The sequence below is a fragment of the Homo sapiens genome, chromosome X (genome assembly GCF_000001405.40).
Source record: "Homo sapiens chromosome X, GRCh38.p14 Primary Assembly".
NCBI classification, from domain to species: Eukaryota; Metazoa; Chordata; class Mammalia; order Primates; family Hominidae; genus Homo; species Homo sapiens.
Genome location: NC_000023.11, coordinates 72,199,786 through 72,217,184, shown reverse-complemented (window position 1 = coordinate 72,217,184; position 17,399 = coordinate 72,199,786). Strand labels below are relative to the sequence as shown.

Below are 17,399 nucleotides of genomic sequence, written 5' to 3'. Positions count from 1 at the left end.
GGGCAAATACCCTTCTGCCAGAATAAACAGGAAGGAAGCATCCTCCTACATGCTAACAACATGCCCTCAGAAAGCAGCTGAACCTGCTGGCTAATCACTCCGGAAAAAAACAGCATAACAGTAATTATGCCAAAACCAAAATTATCCTTTTTTCTGGCATAGCAGATGTGCTTTGGCATCTAGAGGGTATCCTACCAGCCAATGTTCCTCAGCAGAAAGAAGTTTTATTATTTTTGGGGAGCATTTGGTGGCTAACATCCTGACTGACCCTTTGGAATAAAGTCTAACTAAAAATGAAAAATTCTCCAGGGACAGTTAATTTCTTTTACAATGGGTATAGACCTTTAGTACCTCCAGCTCCTTAATCTTCTAGCCCAAGGTTATCTGGTTAACCTTGCCAAACACAAAAGGACAAATACTTTGGGGTTTTTACAATGGGTATAGACCTTTAGTACCTCCAGCTCCTTAATCTTCTAGCCCAAGGTTATCTGGTTAACCTGCCAAACACAAAAGGACAAATACTATATGATTCCACCTATATGAAATATCTAGAATAGGCACATACACAGAGACAAACAGTAGATTAGATGTCACTGAGGGGTGGGAGAAATGGGGAGTTATAGCTTAATGGGTACAGAGTTTCTGTTTGGTATCATGAGAAGGATAGTGGTGATGATTACACGTTGTGAATGTAATCAATGCCATTGTACCCTTAAAATGGTTAAAATGGCAATTTTATGTTATATGTATTTTACCACATTTTTTTAAAAAACCTAGACATTCTGTCACAGTTATGGAAACTAGAAGTCTGAAATCAAGGTGTCAGCAGGGTTGGTTTCTTTTTGGAGACTGAGAAATAATCTGTTCCAAGCCTCTCTCCTAGTTTATGGTGGTACTGGCAATCCTAGGAGCTTTTTGGCTTGTAGATGCGTCACTCCATTCTCTGCCTCCATCTTCATGTGGCATTCTCCTCTCTATGTCTCGGTGTCTCAGTTTACCTCTTATAAGTAAACTAGTCATATGAGGTTAGGGCCTACCCTAATCCAGTATGATCTCATCTTAAATCAATAACATCTGCAATGTCCTGGTCACATTCACGGGCTCCAGGTTGACATGAAATTTTGGAGGACTCTATTTAACCTAGTACAGGGCACTCCCGTGGATAAAATCTTCTGGGAAATGTACATAGAATCAGAAGGACATTGACAACAAAAAGATCCCCAGAAATGCCAACATTTTATAGGGGATATGTGGATGGAGAGGAATTCAAGATGCAGACTGAGCATCTTGAATGGTTAGTGAGGTAGAAGAAATCTAGGAGAAGGGTTGTATGCCACTGAACCCAAGCGGGAGGGAAAACTTCAGGAGGGATGTAGTTATCAGTGGTTTTAAGCACAGCAGAAAGGTCCAGAAAGATAAAGACTAAGAACTGTCCATGGAGTTTGGCAATATGGAGGTTGGTGTCCTTGGTGAGAACAGTTACATTAGAGTGCTAGGTAAGAAGCCAAATCGCAGCGTGTTATGAATCTTGCTTTTTGTATGCCTTCAAATTGATAGGCAGCAGTCTATTGGCAAAGCAGTCTTTTTAGTCTCTTTCACCTACCACCTAGATTCTGTTATTAACATTTTACTATACTCACTTTATCACATACCTATTCTTGCATCTATTCCATCAATCCATCTTCTTTTTTTAGGATACATTTCAAAGTAAATTGCAGACATCAGGGTACTTCCCCCTAAACACTTCAGCATATAAACTATTAAGTGGATTTCAATATTTGTTTAGTTTTTTTCTTTTAAAGTAAAATTTTCATACAAAGAAATGCACAAATCTTAAGTGTACATTTGGTGAATTTTGACAAGTGCATACACGTGTGTAACCCAAACCCCTATCAGGATATAGAATACTATTATCACCCCAGAAAGTGCCCTCACGCCCTTTCCCAGGCATTTTCCACCTCCAGAGGCAACCACTGTCTTGATGTTTTCCACCATATGTTAGTTTTGCCTATTTTAGAACTTGATATAAGTGAAATCACACTGTTGCTACTCTTTTATGCCTGGCTTTTCCTCAGCATGTTTTTGAGATTCATACATGTATAAATTCATACATGTAGTAGTTTGTTCTTTTCTATTATTGAGTCCTTTGTATGAATATATCACAGATTGGTGGGTTTTTTTGTTTGTTTGTTTGTTTTGAGTCAGAGTCTTGCTTTTTCATCCAGGCTGGAGTGCAGTGGCTTGATCTTGGCTCACTGCAACCTCCATCTCCTGAGTTCAAGCGATTTTCCTGCCTCAGCCTCCTAAGTAGCTAGGATTACAGGAACCCGTCACCACACCTGGCTAATTTTTGTATTTTTAGTAGAGATGGTGTTCCACCATGATGGCAGGGCTAATCTCGAACTCCTGACCTCAAGTGATCTGCCCACCTCGGCCTCCCAAAGTGCTAGGATTACAGGTGTGAGCCACCGTGCCTGGCCTAAACTTTTGTTTTGTTTTTTTTTTTTTTTTTGAGATGGAGTCTCACTCTGTCATCCAGGCTGGAGTGCTGTGGCATGATCTCGGCTCACTGCAACTTCCGCCTCCCTGGTTCACATGATTCTCCTGCCTTTGCCTCCAGAGTAGATGGGATTACAGGTGCCTGCCACCATGCCTGGCTAATTTTTGTATTTTTAGTAGAGATGGGTTTCACCATGTTGGCCAGGCTGGTCTCAAACTCCTGACTTCAGGTGATCCAACCGCCTCGGCCTCCCAAAGTGCTGGGGTTGTTTCCAGTTTTTGGCTATTAAGAGTAAAGCAACATTGTTTGTTTTTTTGACTCTTAAATGCCTGTCTTATAAATGGCGCTAAGCAGGGAAAAGCTAATTATTAAATATTGTTTGACTGAAATGTGAACCACATTTTTCCCTAATTTATGTCAGAAATCACTATTTAATAATATTGTTTGTGTTTATATGTGATTTTAAAATGATCCCCACCTTAATTAAAATGACCATCCCTGAAAGTGAAGCCAAAAGGAAGGAATCCTCCTAGCCTACTCTGCCATGACTTGGGCTTTAAATGGACCTGTTTTCAATACTGGCATTCAGGTCACCTGCAATTTTTATGTTATCCAAATGTTTTATGTTTTATTGATTTTGATGGAGAATCAAAAGACATCTGTTGTGTCTAATGCATCTACATGCATCTTGACAAGGGGACTGGACATAGAGACATGTCAGGGAGCAGATACTCCAGGAGCTGGATCAGTATAGGGAAACTGTTAACGGACAGGTCTTTGTTCTCAGAGCTCCCAAGATAGTGGTGGGCCGCTCCCAAGATGGCAGCAAGCCTTTTGTTCTCTGACCTGGGGTTCTTGGCCTCACGGATTCCAAGGAATGGAACCTTGGGCCACATGGTGAGTGTTATAGCTCTATTAGAAGCCGTGGGTCATGGAAGAGAACCGTGGAACCCAGCAACTAGTGTTCAGCTGGATTAGGACGAACCCGGGCACTTAGCCATGCAGGAACAATGGCGAGCCTTTAGCCCGATTGGGAGCGGCAATGGGCGCCTTGCTATATCAGAAACGCAGCGGACACCCTGCCATATCTGGAGGGGTGGAAGTCAGCGATGGGTCTGCAACGGTGGCAAACAGCAGTGGTGGACGGTGAGCGAAAGCTCAGCTCGAGCCGTAACAAACACAGACCAGAAGAGTGTGCAGTTGCAAGATTTAATAGAGTGAAAACAGAGCTCCCATACAATGGGAGGGACCCAGACGAGGTTGCCCCTCCCGGCTCGAATGCCTGGATTTATATCCCGATCATTTTCCCTCCCCCTGTGCTCTCGGGCGATATATGATTTGACTATTTCTTTACCTCCTGCTTTTAGCCTAATTTGTATTTCAGTGAGCCCTCTTTACTACCTGATTGGTTGGGTGTGAGCTGAGTTATAAGCCCTGTATTTAAAGGTAGGTGTAGTCACCTTCCCCAGCTAGGCTTAGGAATTCTTAGTCAGCCTAGGAAATCCAGCAAGTCCTGTCTCTCAAAACTGGGTTCTTGTTGAGAGGACAGCAATAACCCCACTCACATGCGCCGAGATTAGCAGGTCTAGGCTCCTCCACCCCTATATGGGCCTAGTGGCTGGTGGCCAGATTACAAAACAAAGAGCATTTCTGATTGTTTTGCATGTGAAGAAAACAAAGTTTTATTGAGTTAGGGTCTTTGCATTCAGTTCTCTGTCTCTTCACATTCTTTTTTTTTTGAGACAGGGTCTGGCTCTGTAGCCCAGGCTGGAGTGCAGTGGTGACACGATCATAGCTCAATGCAACCCCTGCCTCCCAGGCTCAAGCCATCCCTCCCACCTTAGCCTCCCAGTAGCTGGGTCTAGGCGCATGCCACCAAACCCGGCTAATTTTTTTTCTATTTTTTGTAGAGACCAGGGCTTCACTATGTTGCCCAGGCTAGTCTCAAACTCCTGGGCTCAAGCAATCTGCCCGCCTTGGCCTCCCAAAGTACTGGGATTAGAGGCTCAAGCCACCGCTCCCAGCTGTCTCTTCACATTCTAAAATAACTTTGTAGGGAATGTTCTAAAGGGCCCTCCATAGCAAGGAAAATCAAGTGTGTGTCTTCTGCAACTTAAGCTTGTGTGCCTTTTCAGCTGCTCATTTGTAAACACTGTGTGTTTAACTTAGCTTAGCTCTTTGGGGCATAGGTCTAATAGTATGGCTTATGGGTTTCTCCAGATAGAAAAACTTTTCAGCATCTGAACTGGCAGACCCTCTGTGGAGAAGAAAGGTTTCTCAAGGTATCAGCCAGTTCCAAAGGGAGGTGGATTAGATGTTGAGAGGTTAATTGGCTATGGTCAAGGAAAATGTTTGCATCTGAGGAAATAGCTTTGGGGCAGAGATGATTTTATTATTATTATTATTATTTTTTTTGAGATGGGGTCTCGCTGTGGTGCACGGTTGGAGTGTAGTGGTGCGATCTTGGCTCACTGCAACCCCCGCCTTTCACGTGATTCTCATGCCTCAGCCTCCCGAGTAGCTGGGATTACAGGCACCCACCACCATGCCCGGCTAATTTTTTTGTATTTTTAGTAGAGACGGGGTTTCACCATGTTGGCCAGGCTGGTCCTGAACTCCTGACTTCAGGTGATTCAACCGCCTCAGCCTCCCAAAGTGCTGGGATTACAGGCATGAGCCACCATGCCCAGCCACAGAGATGATTTTATATGGCCACTTGGGCAGGGCTTCTTATAGAGAGACCTTTAGGTGGGGTTATGACCCAGGGGGTTAGCAACTGGGCAGTTTTGCCAGCGAAAGTGTAGCTTTCCAGGTAACAGGACTTTGTAGCCCAAGTTTAATTGTTGTATCACCTTCCTCCAGGAGTTGTTTGTATATAATATTTCTTTTTTTTTTTATTTTTGAAACGGGTCTTGCTCTGTCACCCAGGCTGTAGTGCAGTGGTGCGATCATGGCTCACTGCAGCCTAGACCTCCCATGCTGAAGCGAACTTCTTGCCTCAGCCTCCTGAATAGCTGGGACTGACTACAGGTGTGTGCCACTGATATGGTTTGGCTGTGACCCCACCCATAATCTCATCTTGAATTGTAATCCAGATTGTAATCCTCAATCTCATCTTGAATTGTAATCCAGACTGTAATCCTCACGTGTTTGGGGAGACACCTTGTGGGAGGTGATTAGATGTCCTTTAAAATAATCCTTAAAGAGAAACATGCTCTAGTCATATAATTTCAGGTAAAACCATTTAAACATAAAATTTTTGTTTTTATTGTCCATTCCTATGGAATTAAAAACTGACATTTCACCCCATACTCTAGCACTATTCTTCTCCTTGTTCTCTTGCTTGAGGGTTATGGTTCTTTGTCCTGAACTGGTTACTCCTCCCTGTCCTCTTGGCTCCCAAGCAGGCCTGGCTTCTCCCTGCCTATGTTCAAGGAAAATAGGGGAGCAATTCTGGAAAAATACTTGAGCCCATGAAGTGTTAGCTAAGTTATCCAGATCATTAGGGATCCTGTGTGCTATAGATGGATAAATCATTACATTAGCAATAAAAAGGACATGTTTTCCCTCCAAGCCCTGAAAAATGGAAGTGATTAGAAGTTAAGTGGCTAAATCAAACTGCATTGTAAAAAGCATTCTAGTCTTGCAAATAATCAGATATCCAGGGCAGTGCTATTAAAAGCATTTATTTTTCCTCCTGATTCCATTGTAGGGAAAGAATACCATCCTAGGTCCAACTTAATTGGTGGAATAGACTGAGGGGAAAGGAAGAGCTGAGATGCAGTTGTTAGACAGACCTGCTAACTAGGGTGGACCAGGGACTGGGGAAGGCAGCTTGGCTCACAGCAGCGGTTTAACCCAGCCAGAAAGCAGTGATATCCAAGGAATACTGTAAACTCTCGTTGTGGTTCAGGCAGAGGTTGACAAATGGGGGTTCCAGAGGGTGGGTAGAGCACAGCAATAAGTATTTTAGGCTGGTGCTAAGAAGTCTAGGCACACAGTTGCCATTTAAAAGGCTGGCGTGTGTGATTAGTGGGGACTCTGGCCCAGAGCTAAGGATCAGGGACAGCACTTTAGTCTCTGGGAAAGACGCCTGGCTAGAGTTACACAGAACCCCAGGTTTCATAGGGGTTTCAGGATACTGGGTAGGTTACCAGTTCAGGAACTTGGAAATAATCTAATAATTTAAGAATGTTATTTTTTCCTTCAAGCTCTAGAACATAGATCAAGACCGCTTTCCAAAGCAGCTCTGAACCCTTAATAATTCCCATCAATAGTGGGAGTTTTTCACACCTTGCCAACACTTGGTATTTTCCCACTTGTTGGTTATAGCCATCCTAATGGGAAGTGGTATCTCCTTGTGGTTTTGGTTTGCATTTCCCTGACAACTAATGATGTTGAGAGTCTTTTCATGTGCCCATCTGTATATCTTTTTTCCATTTATTTATTTATTTATTTATTTATTTATTTATTTATTTATTTTTTAAGAGACAGTCTCGCTATGTTATTCAGGCTAGTCTTAAACTCCTGACCTCAAGCGATCCTCCTGCCTTGGCCTCCCAAAAGTGCTGGGATCACAGTCATGAGCCACCGCACCCGGCCCTGTATATCTCTTCCCCCCCTCTGGTTGCTTGTGTGTTCGGCATCATATTTAAGATATTGCCAAATCCAAGTCATGAAGATTTTTACACCTATATTTTTTCCTAAGTTTTGTAGGTTTAGCCCTTAGATTTAGATCTATGATCCATTTTGAGTTAATTTTTGTGTATGGTATGAGTAGGGGTCCAATTTCATTCTTTTGCACATGGATATCCAGTTGAAAAGACTTCTTCCCCAGTGAATTATTTTGGCGCCCTTACTGAAAGTAATTGACCATAAACCACTGAAGAATTTTAAGCAGAGGAGTGACATGATTTCTTTTATGCTTTAAGACAGTATTGCTGGCTGCTATATAGAGTGTGTATTGGAGGGGCAAGAGTTTATGTAGGGAGAGCAGTTTATGTAGGAAGCTGCAGTTATCCAGGCCAGAGATGATGGTGACTTGGGCCACAGTAATGGTAGTAGAGATGGAAAGAAGGTGGTTATAACTTGGGAAATAAAGTTAGTAGGACTTGGGACTGCCTGGCCTGGGGGTGGGGCATAAAAAGAAAGGACAAGGATGACTCCTATTTAGGTTGGGGTCAAGGATTCTCTTCAGATTTGAAGTTTGGGTGGCTAAATAGATGGTAGTGTTATTTAGTACCATACAAATGGAGAAGCACGTTTTTAGAGGGGAAATAATGAGTCTAGTTTGGGATGAATTGAATTTGATTTCAAGTGGAGATGTCCAGAAGGCAGCTGGAATATGGGTCTAGAGTAGAGCTTGAGGGACAGCTCTAGGTTGGAGAGAGTGATTTGAGAGTCATGAGCACATAGGTGGGAGCGGAAGCTCTGGGAAAACTTGAGGAGAGATTAAAAAGAGTGAGAAGAGGTCCTAGGACTGAGTCCTCTGGGAGGAAGAACACAGAAGAAATGGTCAGTGAAGAGGAGGAAAACCAGAAGGAATCTATAGGAATCTCGTGAAAGGAGGGAATTTTAAGAGGGGAGGGGAGTGATCAATACTGTTAAATGGAGGTCCAGTAAAATAAGGCCAGAGAGGTTCCCATGTTTCCATGCCCCTACACATAGAGGTTTGTTTTACAAAAAATATCACTTCATACTTCTTATGGGTGCCAATTAAAAAAAAAATACTGTGGAACCAATAACCTTTGCACATTCATTTTCCACAACTAGTGCCTGAAGGTGTTGCTGGCAGCATCTGGTGGATATTTGTTTGTGTCTCAAGTGACGCCAGCTTTCATTGGCATCTTGTGTGCTAATCTTTCCCATCCTGAATTGAGGATATTAAAAGTCCAGCTGCAGTTTGGATTCTAAAATGAACTCTAAAGCATTCTTAGACTGAATGTTCAATGTTTCCTTTCTCCTCTTCTTCTTTTTTTTTCTATAGATATGTGAAAGAGGCCAAAGAAGCAACTAAGAATGGAGACCTGGAAGAAGCATTTAAACTTTTCAATTTGGCAAAGGACATTTTTCCCAATGAAAAAGTGCTGAGCAGAATCCAAAAAATACAGGAAGCCTTGGAGGAGTTGGCAGAACAGGGAGATGATGAATTTACAGATGTGTGCAACTCTGGCTTGCTACTTTATCGAGAACTGCACAACCAACTCTTTGAGCACCAGAAGGAAGGCATAGCTTTCCTCTATAGCCTGTATAGGGATGGAAGAAAAGGTGGTATATTGGCTGATGATATGGGATTAGGGAAGACTGTTCAAATCATTGCTTTCCTTTCCGGTATGTTTGATGCATCACTTGTGAATCATGTGCTGCTGATCATGCCAACCAATCTTATTAACACATGGGTAAAAGAATTCATCAAGTGGACTCCAGGAATGAGAGTCAAAACCTTTCATGGTCCTAGCAAGGATGAACGGACCAGAAACCTCAATCGGATTCAGCAAAGGAATGGTGTTATTATCACTACATACCAAATGTTAATCAATAACTGGCAGCAACTTTCAAGCTTTAGGGGCCAAGAGTTTGTGTGGGACTATGTCATCCTCGATGAAGCACATAAAATAAAAACCTCATCTACTAAGTCAGCAATATGTGCTCGTGCTATTCCTGCAAGTAATCGCCTCCTCCTCACAGGAACCCCAATCCAGAATAATTTACAAGAACTATGGTCCCTATTTGATTTTGCTTGTCAAGGGTCCCTGCTGGGAACATTAAAAACTTTTAAGATGGAGTATGAAAATCCTATTACTAGAGCAAGAGAGAAGGATGCTACCCCAGGAGAAAAAGCCTTGGGATTTAAAATATCTGAAAACTTAATGGCAATCATAAAACCCTATTTTCTCAGGAGGACTAAAGAAGACGTACAGAAGAAAAAGTCAAGCAACCCAGAGGCCAGACTTAATGAAAAGAATCCAGATGTTGATGCCATTTGTGAAATGCCTTCCCTTTCCAGGAAAAATGATTTAATTATTTGGATACGACTTGTGCCTTTACAAGAAGAAATATACAGGAAATTTGTGTCTTTAGATCATATCAAGGAGTTGCTAATGGAGACGCGCTCACCTTTGGCTGAGCTAGGTGTCTTAAAGAAGCTGTGTGATCATCCTAGGCTGCTGTCTGCACGGGCTTGTTGTTTGCTAAATCTTGGGACATTCTCTGCTCAAGATGGAAATGAGGGGGAAGATTCCCCAGATGTGGACCATATTGATCAAGTAACTGATGACACATTGATGGAAGAATCTGGAAAAATGATATTCCTAATGGACCTACTTAAGAGGCTGCGAGATGAGGGACATCAAACTCTGGTGTTTTCTCAATCGAGGCAAATTCTAAACATCATTGAACGCCTCTTAAAGAATAGGCACTTTAAGACATTGCGAATCGATGGGACAGTTACTCATCTTTTGGAACGAGAAAAAAGAATTAACTTATTCCAGCAAAATAAAGATTACTCTGTTTTTCTGCTTACCACTCAAGTAGGTGGTGTCGGTTTAACATTAACTGCAGCAACTAGAGTGGTCATTTTTGACCCTAGCTGGAATCCTGCAACTGATGCTCAAGCTGTGGATAGAGTTTACCGAATTGGACAAAAAGAGAATGTTGTGGTTTATAGGCTAATCACTTGTGGGACTGTAGAGGAAAAAATATACAGAAGACAGGTTTTCAAGGACTCATTAATAAGACAAACTACTGGTGAAAAAAAGAACCCTTTCCGATATTTTAGTAAACAAGAATTAAGAGAGCTCTTTACAATCGAGGATCTTCAGAACTCTGTAACCCAGCTGCAGCTTCAGTCTTTGCATGCTGCTCAGAGGAAATCTGATATAAAACTAGATGAACATATTGCCTACCTGCAGTCTTTGGGGATAGCTGGAATCTCAGACCATGATTTGATGTACACATGTGATCTGTCTGTTAAAGAAGAGCTTGATGTGGTAGAAGAATCTCACTATATTCAACAAAGGGTTCAGAAAGCTCAATTCCTCGTTGAATTCGAGTCTCAAAATAAAGAGTTCCTGATGGAACAACAAAGAACTAGAAATGAGGGGGCCTGGCTAAGAGAACCTGTATTTCCTTCTTCAACAAAGAAGAAATGCCCTAAATTGAATAAACCACAGCCTCAGCCTTCACCTCTTCTAAGTACTCATCATACTCAGGAAGAAGATATCAGTTCCAAAATGGCAAGTGTAGTCATTGATGATCTGCCCAAAGAGGGTGAGAAACAAGATCTCTCCAGTATAAAGGTGAATGTTACCACCTTGCAAGATGGTAAAGGTACAGGTAGTGCTGACTCTATAGCTACTTTACCAAAGGGGTTTGGAAGTGTAGAAGAACTTTGTACTAACTCTTCATTGGGAATGGAAAAAAGCTTTGCAACTAAAAATGAAGCTGTACAAAAAGAGACATTACAAGAGGGGCCTAAGCAAGAGGCACTGCAAGAGGATCCTCTGGAAAGTTTTAATTATGTACTTAGCAAATCAACCAAAGCTGATATTGGGCCAAATTTAGATCAACTAAAGGATGATGAGATTTTACGTCATTGCAATCCTTGGCCCATTATTTCCATAACAAATGAAAGTCAAAATGCAGAATCAAATGTATCCATTATTGAAATAGCTGATGACCTTTCAGCATCCCATAGTGCACTGCAGGATGCTCAAGCAAGTGAGGCCAAGTTGGAAGAGGAACCTTCAGCATCTTCACCACAGTATGCATGTGATTTCAATCTTTTCTTGGAAGACTCAGCAGACAACAGACAAAATTTTTCCAGTCAGTCTTTAGAGCATGTTGAGAAAGAAAATAGCTTGTGTGGCTCTGCACCTAATTCCAGAGCAGGGTTTGTGCATAGCAAAACATGTCTCAGTTGGGAGTTTTCTGAGAAAGACGATGAACCAGAAGAAGTAGTAGTTAAAGCAAAAATCAGAAGTAAAGCTAGAAGGATTGTTTCAGATGGCGAAGATGAAGATGATTCTTTTAAAGATACCTCAAGCATAAATCCATTCAACACATCTCTCTTTCAATTCTCATCTGTGAAACAATTTGATGCTTCAACTCCCAAAAATGACATCAGTCCACCAGGAAGGTTCTTTTCATCTCAAATACCCAGTAGTGTAAATAAGTCTATGAACTCTAGAAGATCTCTGGCTTCTAGGAGGTCTCTTATTAATATGGTTTTAGACCACGTGGAGGACATGGAGGAAAGACTTGACGACAGCAGTGAAGCAAAGGGTCCTGAAGATTATCCAGAAGAAGGGGTGGAGGAAAGCAGTGGCGAAGCCTCCAAGTATACAGAAGAGGATCCTTCCGGAGAAACACTGTCTTCAGAAAACAAGTCCAGCTGGTTAATGACGTCTAAGCCTAGTGCTCTAGCTCAAGAGACCTCTCTTGGTGCCCCTGAGCCTTTGTCTGGTGAACAGTTGGTTGGTTCTCCCCAGGATAAGGCGGCAGAGGCTACAAATGACTATGAGACTCTTGTAAAGCGTGGAAAAGAACTAAAAGAGTGTGGAAAAATCCAGGAGGCCCTAAACTGCTTAGTTAAAGCGCTTGACATAAAAAGTGCAGATCCTGAAGTTATGCTCTTGACTTTAAGTTTGTATAAGCAACTTAATAACAATTGAGAATGTAACCTGTTTATTGTATTTTAAAGTGAAACTGAATATGAGGGAATTTTTGTTCCCATAATTGGATTCTTTGGGAACATGAAGCATTCAGGCTTAAGGCAAGAAAGATCTCAAAAAGCAACTTCTGCCCTGCAACGCCCCCCACTCCATAGTCTGGTATTCTGAGCACTAGCTTAATATTTCTTCACTTGAATATTCTTATATTTTAGGCATATTCTATAAATTTAACTGTGTTGTTTCTTGGAAAGTTTTGTAAAATTATTCTGGTCATTCTTAATTTTACTCTGAAAGTGATCATCTTTGTATATAACAGTTCAGATAAGAAAATTAAAGTTACTTTTCTCAAGTGTTTTCCATCCACTTTGTTTCACTGAGATGATACTGGCAGATCTTAAGATATGCTTGTGAACATGCTGTTTCATGCTTTCAGCTTAATACAGGTTGAGCATCCCTAATCCAATCCAAAATGGGGAAAATTTCTGAGTGCTGACATGATGCCACAAGTGAGGAAAGTTCCATACCTGATGTCATGTGACATGTCACAGTCAAAATGAAGGTGTATAACACACTGTTTACTCAGCATCCCCAAGAGAAAAGAGATTCTGTTAGACCCCTTCAGCTACTATATATCCTTTCCACACAGGCCCAGATTCTCCCATGCAAGCCTGCCTACAAAGGGTAATAAAATGGTTCAACATACACAAACTTTGTTTCATGCACAAAATCGTTAAAAGTAATTATAAAATTACCTTCAGACTATGTATATAATGTGTGTATGAAACATAAATGGATTTCATGTTTAGACTTGGATCCCATCTCCAAAATATCTCATTATGTGTATGGAAATTCTCCACAATCAAGAACACTTCTGGTCCCCAGCATTTTGGATAGAGTACTAAACTGGAACAGCAGAAAGCTGAGCTAGGTACCTGGTGCTAGGATTCTTTATCACTGGTAGCTTGCCCTGGAGTCACTGCTGACCATTTAGCCATTCTTAATGCACCATTAACTGTGTTCTCCCTTTCACCAAACCAGGTATCTCGTCTATTCTGACACATATTATCACAGTCTATCTTTGGATTGTAGACTGAAAAGGAGTTTGGTTCCCTTGCAGAAAGATAAACTGCAGTATAGCACGCTGCACTCTGTCACCAGAGAAGTGGACTATCCTTGATGACGTACTATGTGTTGGGCACTCCACACAGGTTTCTCATTTCAGCCTTACCATAATCTTTTGAGGTGAAGGGAGAATAGCATTTCCATTTTTCATGTGAGGAAACAGGCTCAGTGATCAGTGAGGCCGTGACTTCCCTGTGGTGACATGGTTGGGGTGAAACCGATTTTTAACCTTGTGTAAATGAATACACTATAATACACTGAGCTGTTTTTACTCAAAACACTTCTGACACCAAATGTGGGGGTTTTCCACATCAAGCAGTTCTCCAGTTCTCCAATTCAAAATTGAACTGGTGTCCTACGATTCTGTTTCGACACTACCCAGGGTTAGCATCAGACTCCACAAGTTTAAGGGCTCAGTCCCACCAGACTGCCCTCACTTCAGACGTCAGTGGCAAGTGTTCGGTCCCCATGTTAACCACACTTCTGTCTGACTTGGCTACAAATTAGGGGTTCCCATGACCGTCCCATCCCACCCCCTGGTTTAATAGTTTGCTAGAATAGCTTATAAAACTCAGGAAACGTTTACTTACTATTACCAGCTTATTATAAAGACTACAACTCAGGAACACCCAAATGGAAGAGATGTGTAGGGCAAGGTATGGGGGTGGTGCATTAAGCGTCCATGCCCTCCAGGCACACCACCCTCCCAACATTTTGATGTTAATCCAGGGCTCTCCAAACTCCATTGTTAAGGTTTTTGAGGTTTCCTTAGGGAGGCATGATTGATAAAATAATTGGCCATGGGTGATTAACTCATCTTCAGCCCCTCTCCCCTCTGCAGAGGTTGCAGTTAGGGCTGAACGTTCCCTCTAATCATGCCTTGCTGTTTCTGGTGACCAGCCCCCATCCTGAAGCTACTAGGGGCCTCCAGCCACAAGCTATGTCATTAGCATACAAAAGACACCAGTTGAGATTTCAAGGCTTTCAGGAACTATATGCCAGGAACCAGGGACAAAGACCAAATATTTATTTTTATTATATCCCATACATATAAAAGTTACTTGTAAATTATATGTATATACACATTAATAATCTCATGTATATTACAAGAGATTACAGAAGTTCAAAAGAAGCTGAATTTCAGGTTATTGATGGAACAAAATTTTGCTCTTACTAAAAGCAATTATTACTATTTTAGGGTAATACGATTGAATATATATCATTATTTTTGAAATACTGGTGTAACTAACTGTGAAGCAATTCACAGTCTGCATCTGAGTTCAGCTTACCATTTCCCTGTGCTTCCCACCATGATGTGAAGGGAGTAGCTGCGCCCTACACATCTTTGTTTTTCTGTCCCTTCTACCACACACAAAAATGTTTGTGAAAATTCAGCTAATAAACTTCTTTCTTCCCTGATGTAGAAAACAAAAAATCCACACAATGTATTTGCCTTCAAGGAAGCTTTAGCGGCCTATATCCATTTGATCTGAACAGTGAAGCGTCTAAGTCCTAGGAATATTTCTCACTGAAAATAGCAATGCTCTTTCTGTTCAAGTGTGTGTGTACTATGACAAATTCTGTTGTTTGGGGAAAAAAATACATGCTCATATTCAAACAGTATCCATGGCAGGGATTTTTAACCTGGGGTTCATGGGTAGAAGAAGTCAGGTGTCTGAATTTGGATAGGAAAAAAAGTTTTATCTTTTCTCTGTCTGGTAGCTGAAATATAGCATTTCCTTTCATCATGAATGTGAAGCAGGAAAATAGGGTCTGGAGGCAGGGAACATAAGGCTGATTCACACTAAAGCTATGACAGGAAATATCCTCTCCACAGGGCGTAGGCCAAGTAAATGACTTGTAACTTCACGTCATCCTTTCCATTTACACAGGGTATACCCCAAGTAACCAATGGAATCCTCTAGGGGATATTTAAACTCCCAAAAATTCTCTAACAGGGTGTTTTGAGCTCCTATGCTGTGGAGTGTAGTTTCGTTTTCAATAAATCCCTTTGTCCCTTCCTTGCTTTGTTTGTGCGTTTCGTTCTTTGTTCAAGATGCCAAGAACCTGGACATCCTCCACTGTTAACAAATGTACGCATAAACTGCAGAAATATTAGCAGTACATGTTATGTCACCAGTAGAAATCACATAGACTTTGGGGTTATTGCAGATATCTCAAAATGCCATTGATATTCATTACTGCAAAGTCACAGTGCTTTTTAGACCTACTACCAGGTATTTAATAAAGAGGCACACACACATATTACAAACTTTTTTTTCTGAGACGAGGTCTTACTCTGTCACCCAGGTGGGAGTGCAGTGGCACAATCTTGATTCACTGCAACCTCCGCCTCCTGGGCTCAAGCAATCCTCCCACCTCAGCCCTACCTGCCCCTGCCAGGAGTAGCTGGGACTACAGGTGTGCGCCACCATCACGCCTGGCTAATTTTTTGTATTTTTGGTAGAGACAGGGTTTCACCATGTTCCTCAGGCTGGTCTCGAACTCCTGAGCTCAGGCAATCCACCTGTCTCGGCCCCCCAAAGAACTGGGATGGATTACAGGCGTGAGCCACTGTGCCCAGCCACAATTTAAAAACTTTGGACTACTGTATTTCAACATAGTTGCTGTCTTTTGTAATCCTATGTATTTTACTTTAAGCACTTAAAGTCAACATTTTTTCTTTTTTGAGACAGGGTCTCGCTCTTGTCACCCAGGCTGGAGTGCAGTGGTGAGATCACGGCTCACTGCAGCCTTAACTCTAGGGCTCAAGCAACCCTCCTGCCTCAGCCTCCCTCCTGAAGAGCAGACACTACAGGCACACACCACAATGCCCAGCTAATTTTTAAAATTTTTTGTAGACAGGGTCTCACTATGTTGCCCAGGCTGGTCTTGAATTCCTGGCCTCAACTGATTTGCCCTACTCAGCCTCCCAAAGTGCTGGGATTACAGGTGTGAGCCACCGCATCCAGCCTAAAATAAACATTTTGAAAAGGGATCCATAGGCTGGGCAAACTGCCAAAGGCTGCAAGGCACAAATGAAAGGTTAAGACCCCTGATCTAAGGGTGTGAGGTGAAAAATCTCTTGCCCTCCTGTCCTGGAGTTCTGGATTCCCATTCCCAGAGACAGTCTATGATGTACAAGCACAAGTACATATGTGTATATATTTATGTTGCTACCCAAGTGATAGTGTATTGTGTACACTATTCTGTACCTCATTTTAAATTTTAAAATAACTGCATGATATTCTATTGAGGGATATACCATAATTTATCATAATCTATTGTTAGTGTTCAGTTTGTTTCCAAATAATGCTGTAATGAATATCCTTGTATCTTTTATACATATGATTATAGTATACCTTCCTAGAAATGGAGTTGCTGGGTCAAAGGGTATATTTATAAATTTGACAGGTATTGCCAAACTATTTTCCAGAGGATATAATTGCATTTCCACCATTAATGAATGGATGAATGTCTGTTTCCCCACACCCTTACCAAACAATGTTAAACTTTCTGAACTTTACCAATCTGACACATAAAAAGAGGGAACTTGTATCTTATTTTGATTTTAATTTGCAATTATTTTACAATGAATAAGGTTTGTTCTGTAAACACTGAACTTAATCAGAGATGTCTTAAAGCAGAATTAAATGCATATGCTATAATGTATATAAATCTGTATAAATCCTTAATTTTTTTCATTTGTCAACTCTTTTTTTTTTTTTTTGAGACAGTTTTGCTGTTGCCCAGACTGGAGTGCAGTGGCGCAATCTCGGCTCACTGCAACCTCCACCTCCCAGGTTGAAGCAATTCTCCTGCCTCAGCCTCCCGAGTAGTTGGGACTACAAGCACACACCACCACACTCAGCTAATTTTTGTATTTTTAGTAGAGACAGGATTCTACCACGATGGCCAGGCTGGTCTTGAACTCCTGGCTTCAAGTGATCCACCCACCTCGGCCTCCCAAAGTGTTGGGATTACAGGCGTCAGCCGCGCTGCCTGGCCCGTTTACCAACTCTTTCAGAATCTTAGTTGTCAATCAAAAGCTAACTTCCCAAAGGTTCGCTTGGTGTCAGAGGTCCATTCCTGCCTTACTTTCTCAC

General features: G+C 41.7%; 2 protein-coding genes across 3 annotated transcripts in view; one reads left to right on the top strand and one right to left on the bottom strand.

Moving 5' to 3' along the window:
• The window catches only part of ERCC6L (ERCC excision repair 6 like, spindle assembly checkpoint helicase), a 34,363-nt gene extending 21,843 nt beyond the window's left edge, over positions 1-12,520 (top strand). For both annotated transcript variants that reach the window (NM_017669.4, NM_001009954.3), the window contains one exon: positions 8,487-12,520. In NM_017669.4, the coding sequence (NP_060139.2) occupies positions 8,487-12,171 (3,685 nt within the window). In that variant the 3' untranslated portion in view covers positions 12,172-12,520. The remainder of the gene's footprint in view (positions 1-8,486) is intronic.
• Positions 1-17,399, bottom strand: part of PIN4 (peptidylprolyl cis/trans isomerase, NIMA-interacting 4) — an 82,289-nt gene that overhangs the window by 46,780 nt on the left and 18,110 nt on the right. The gene's annotated exons all lie outside the window — the stretch shown is intronic.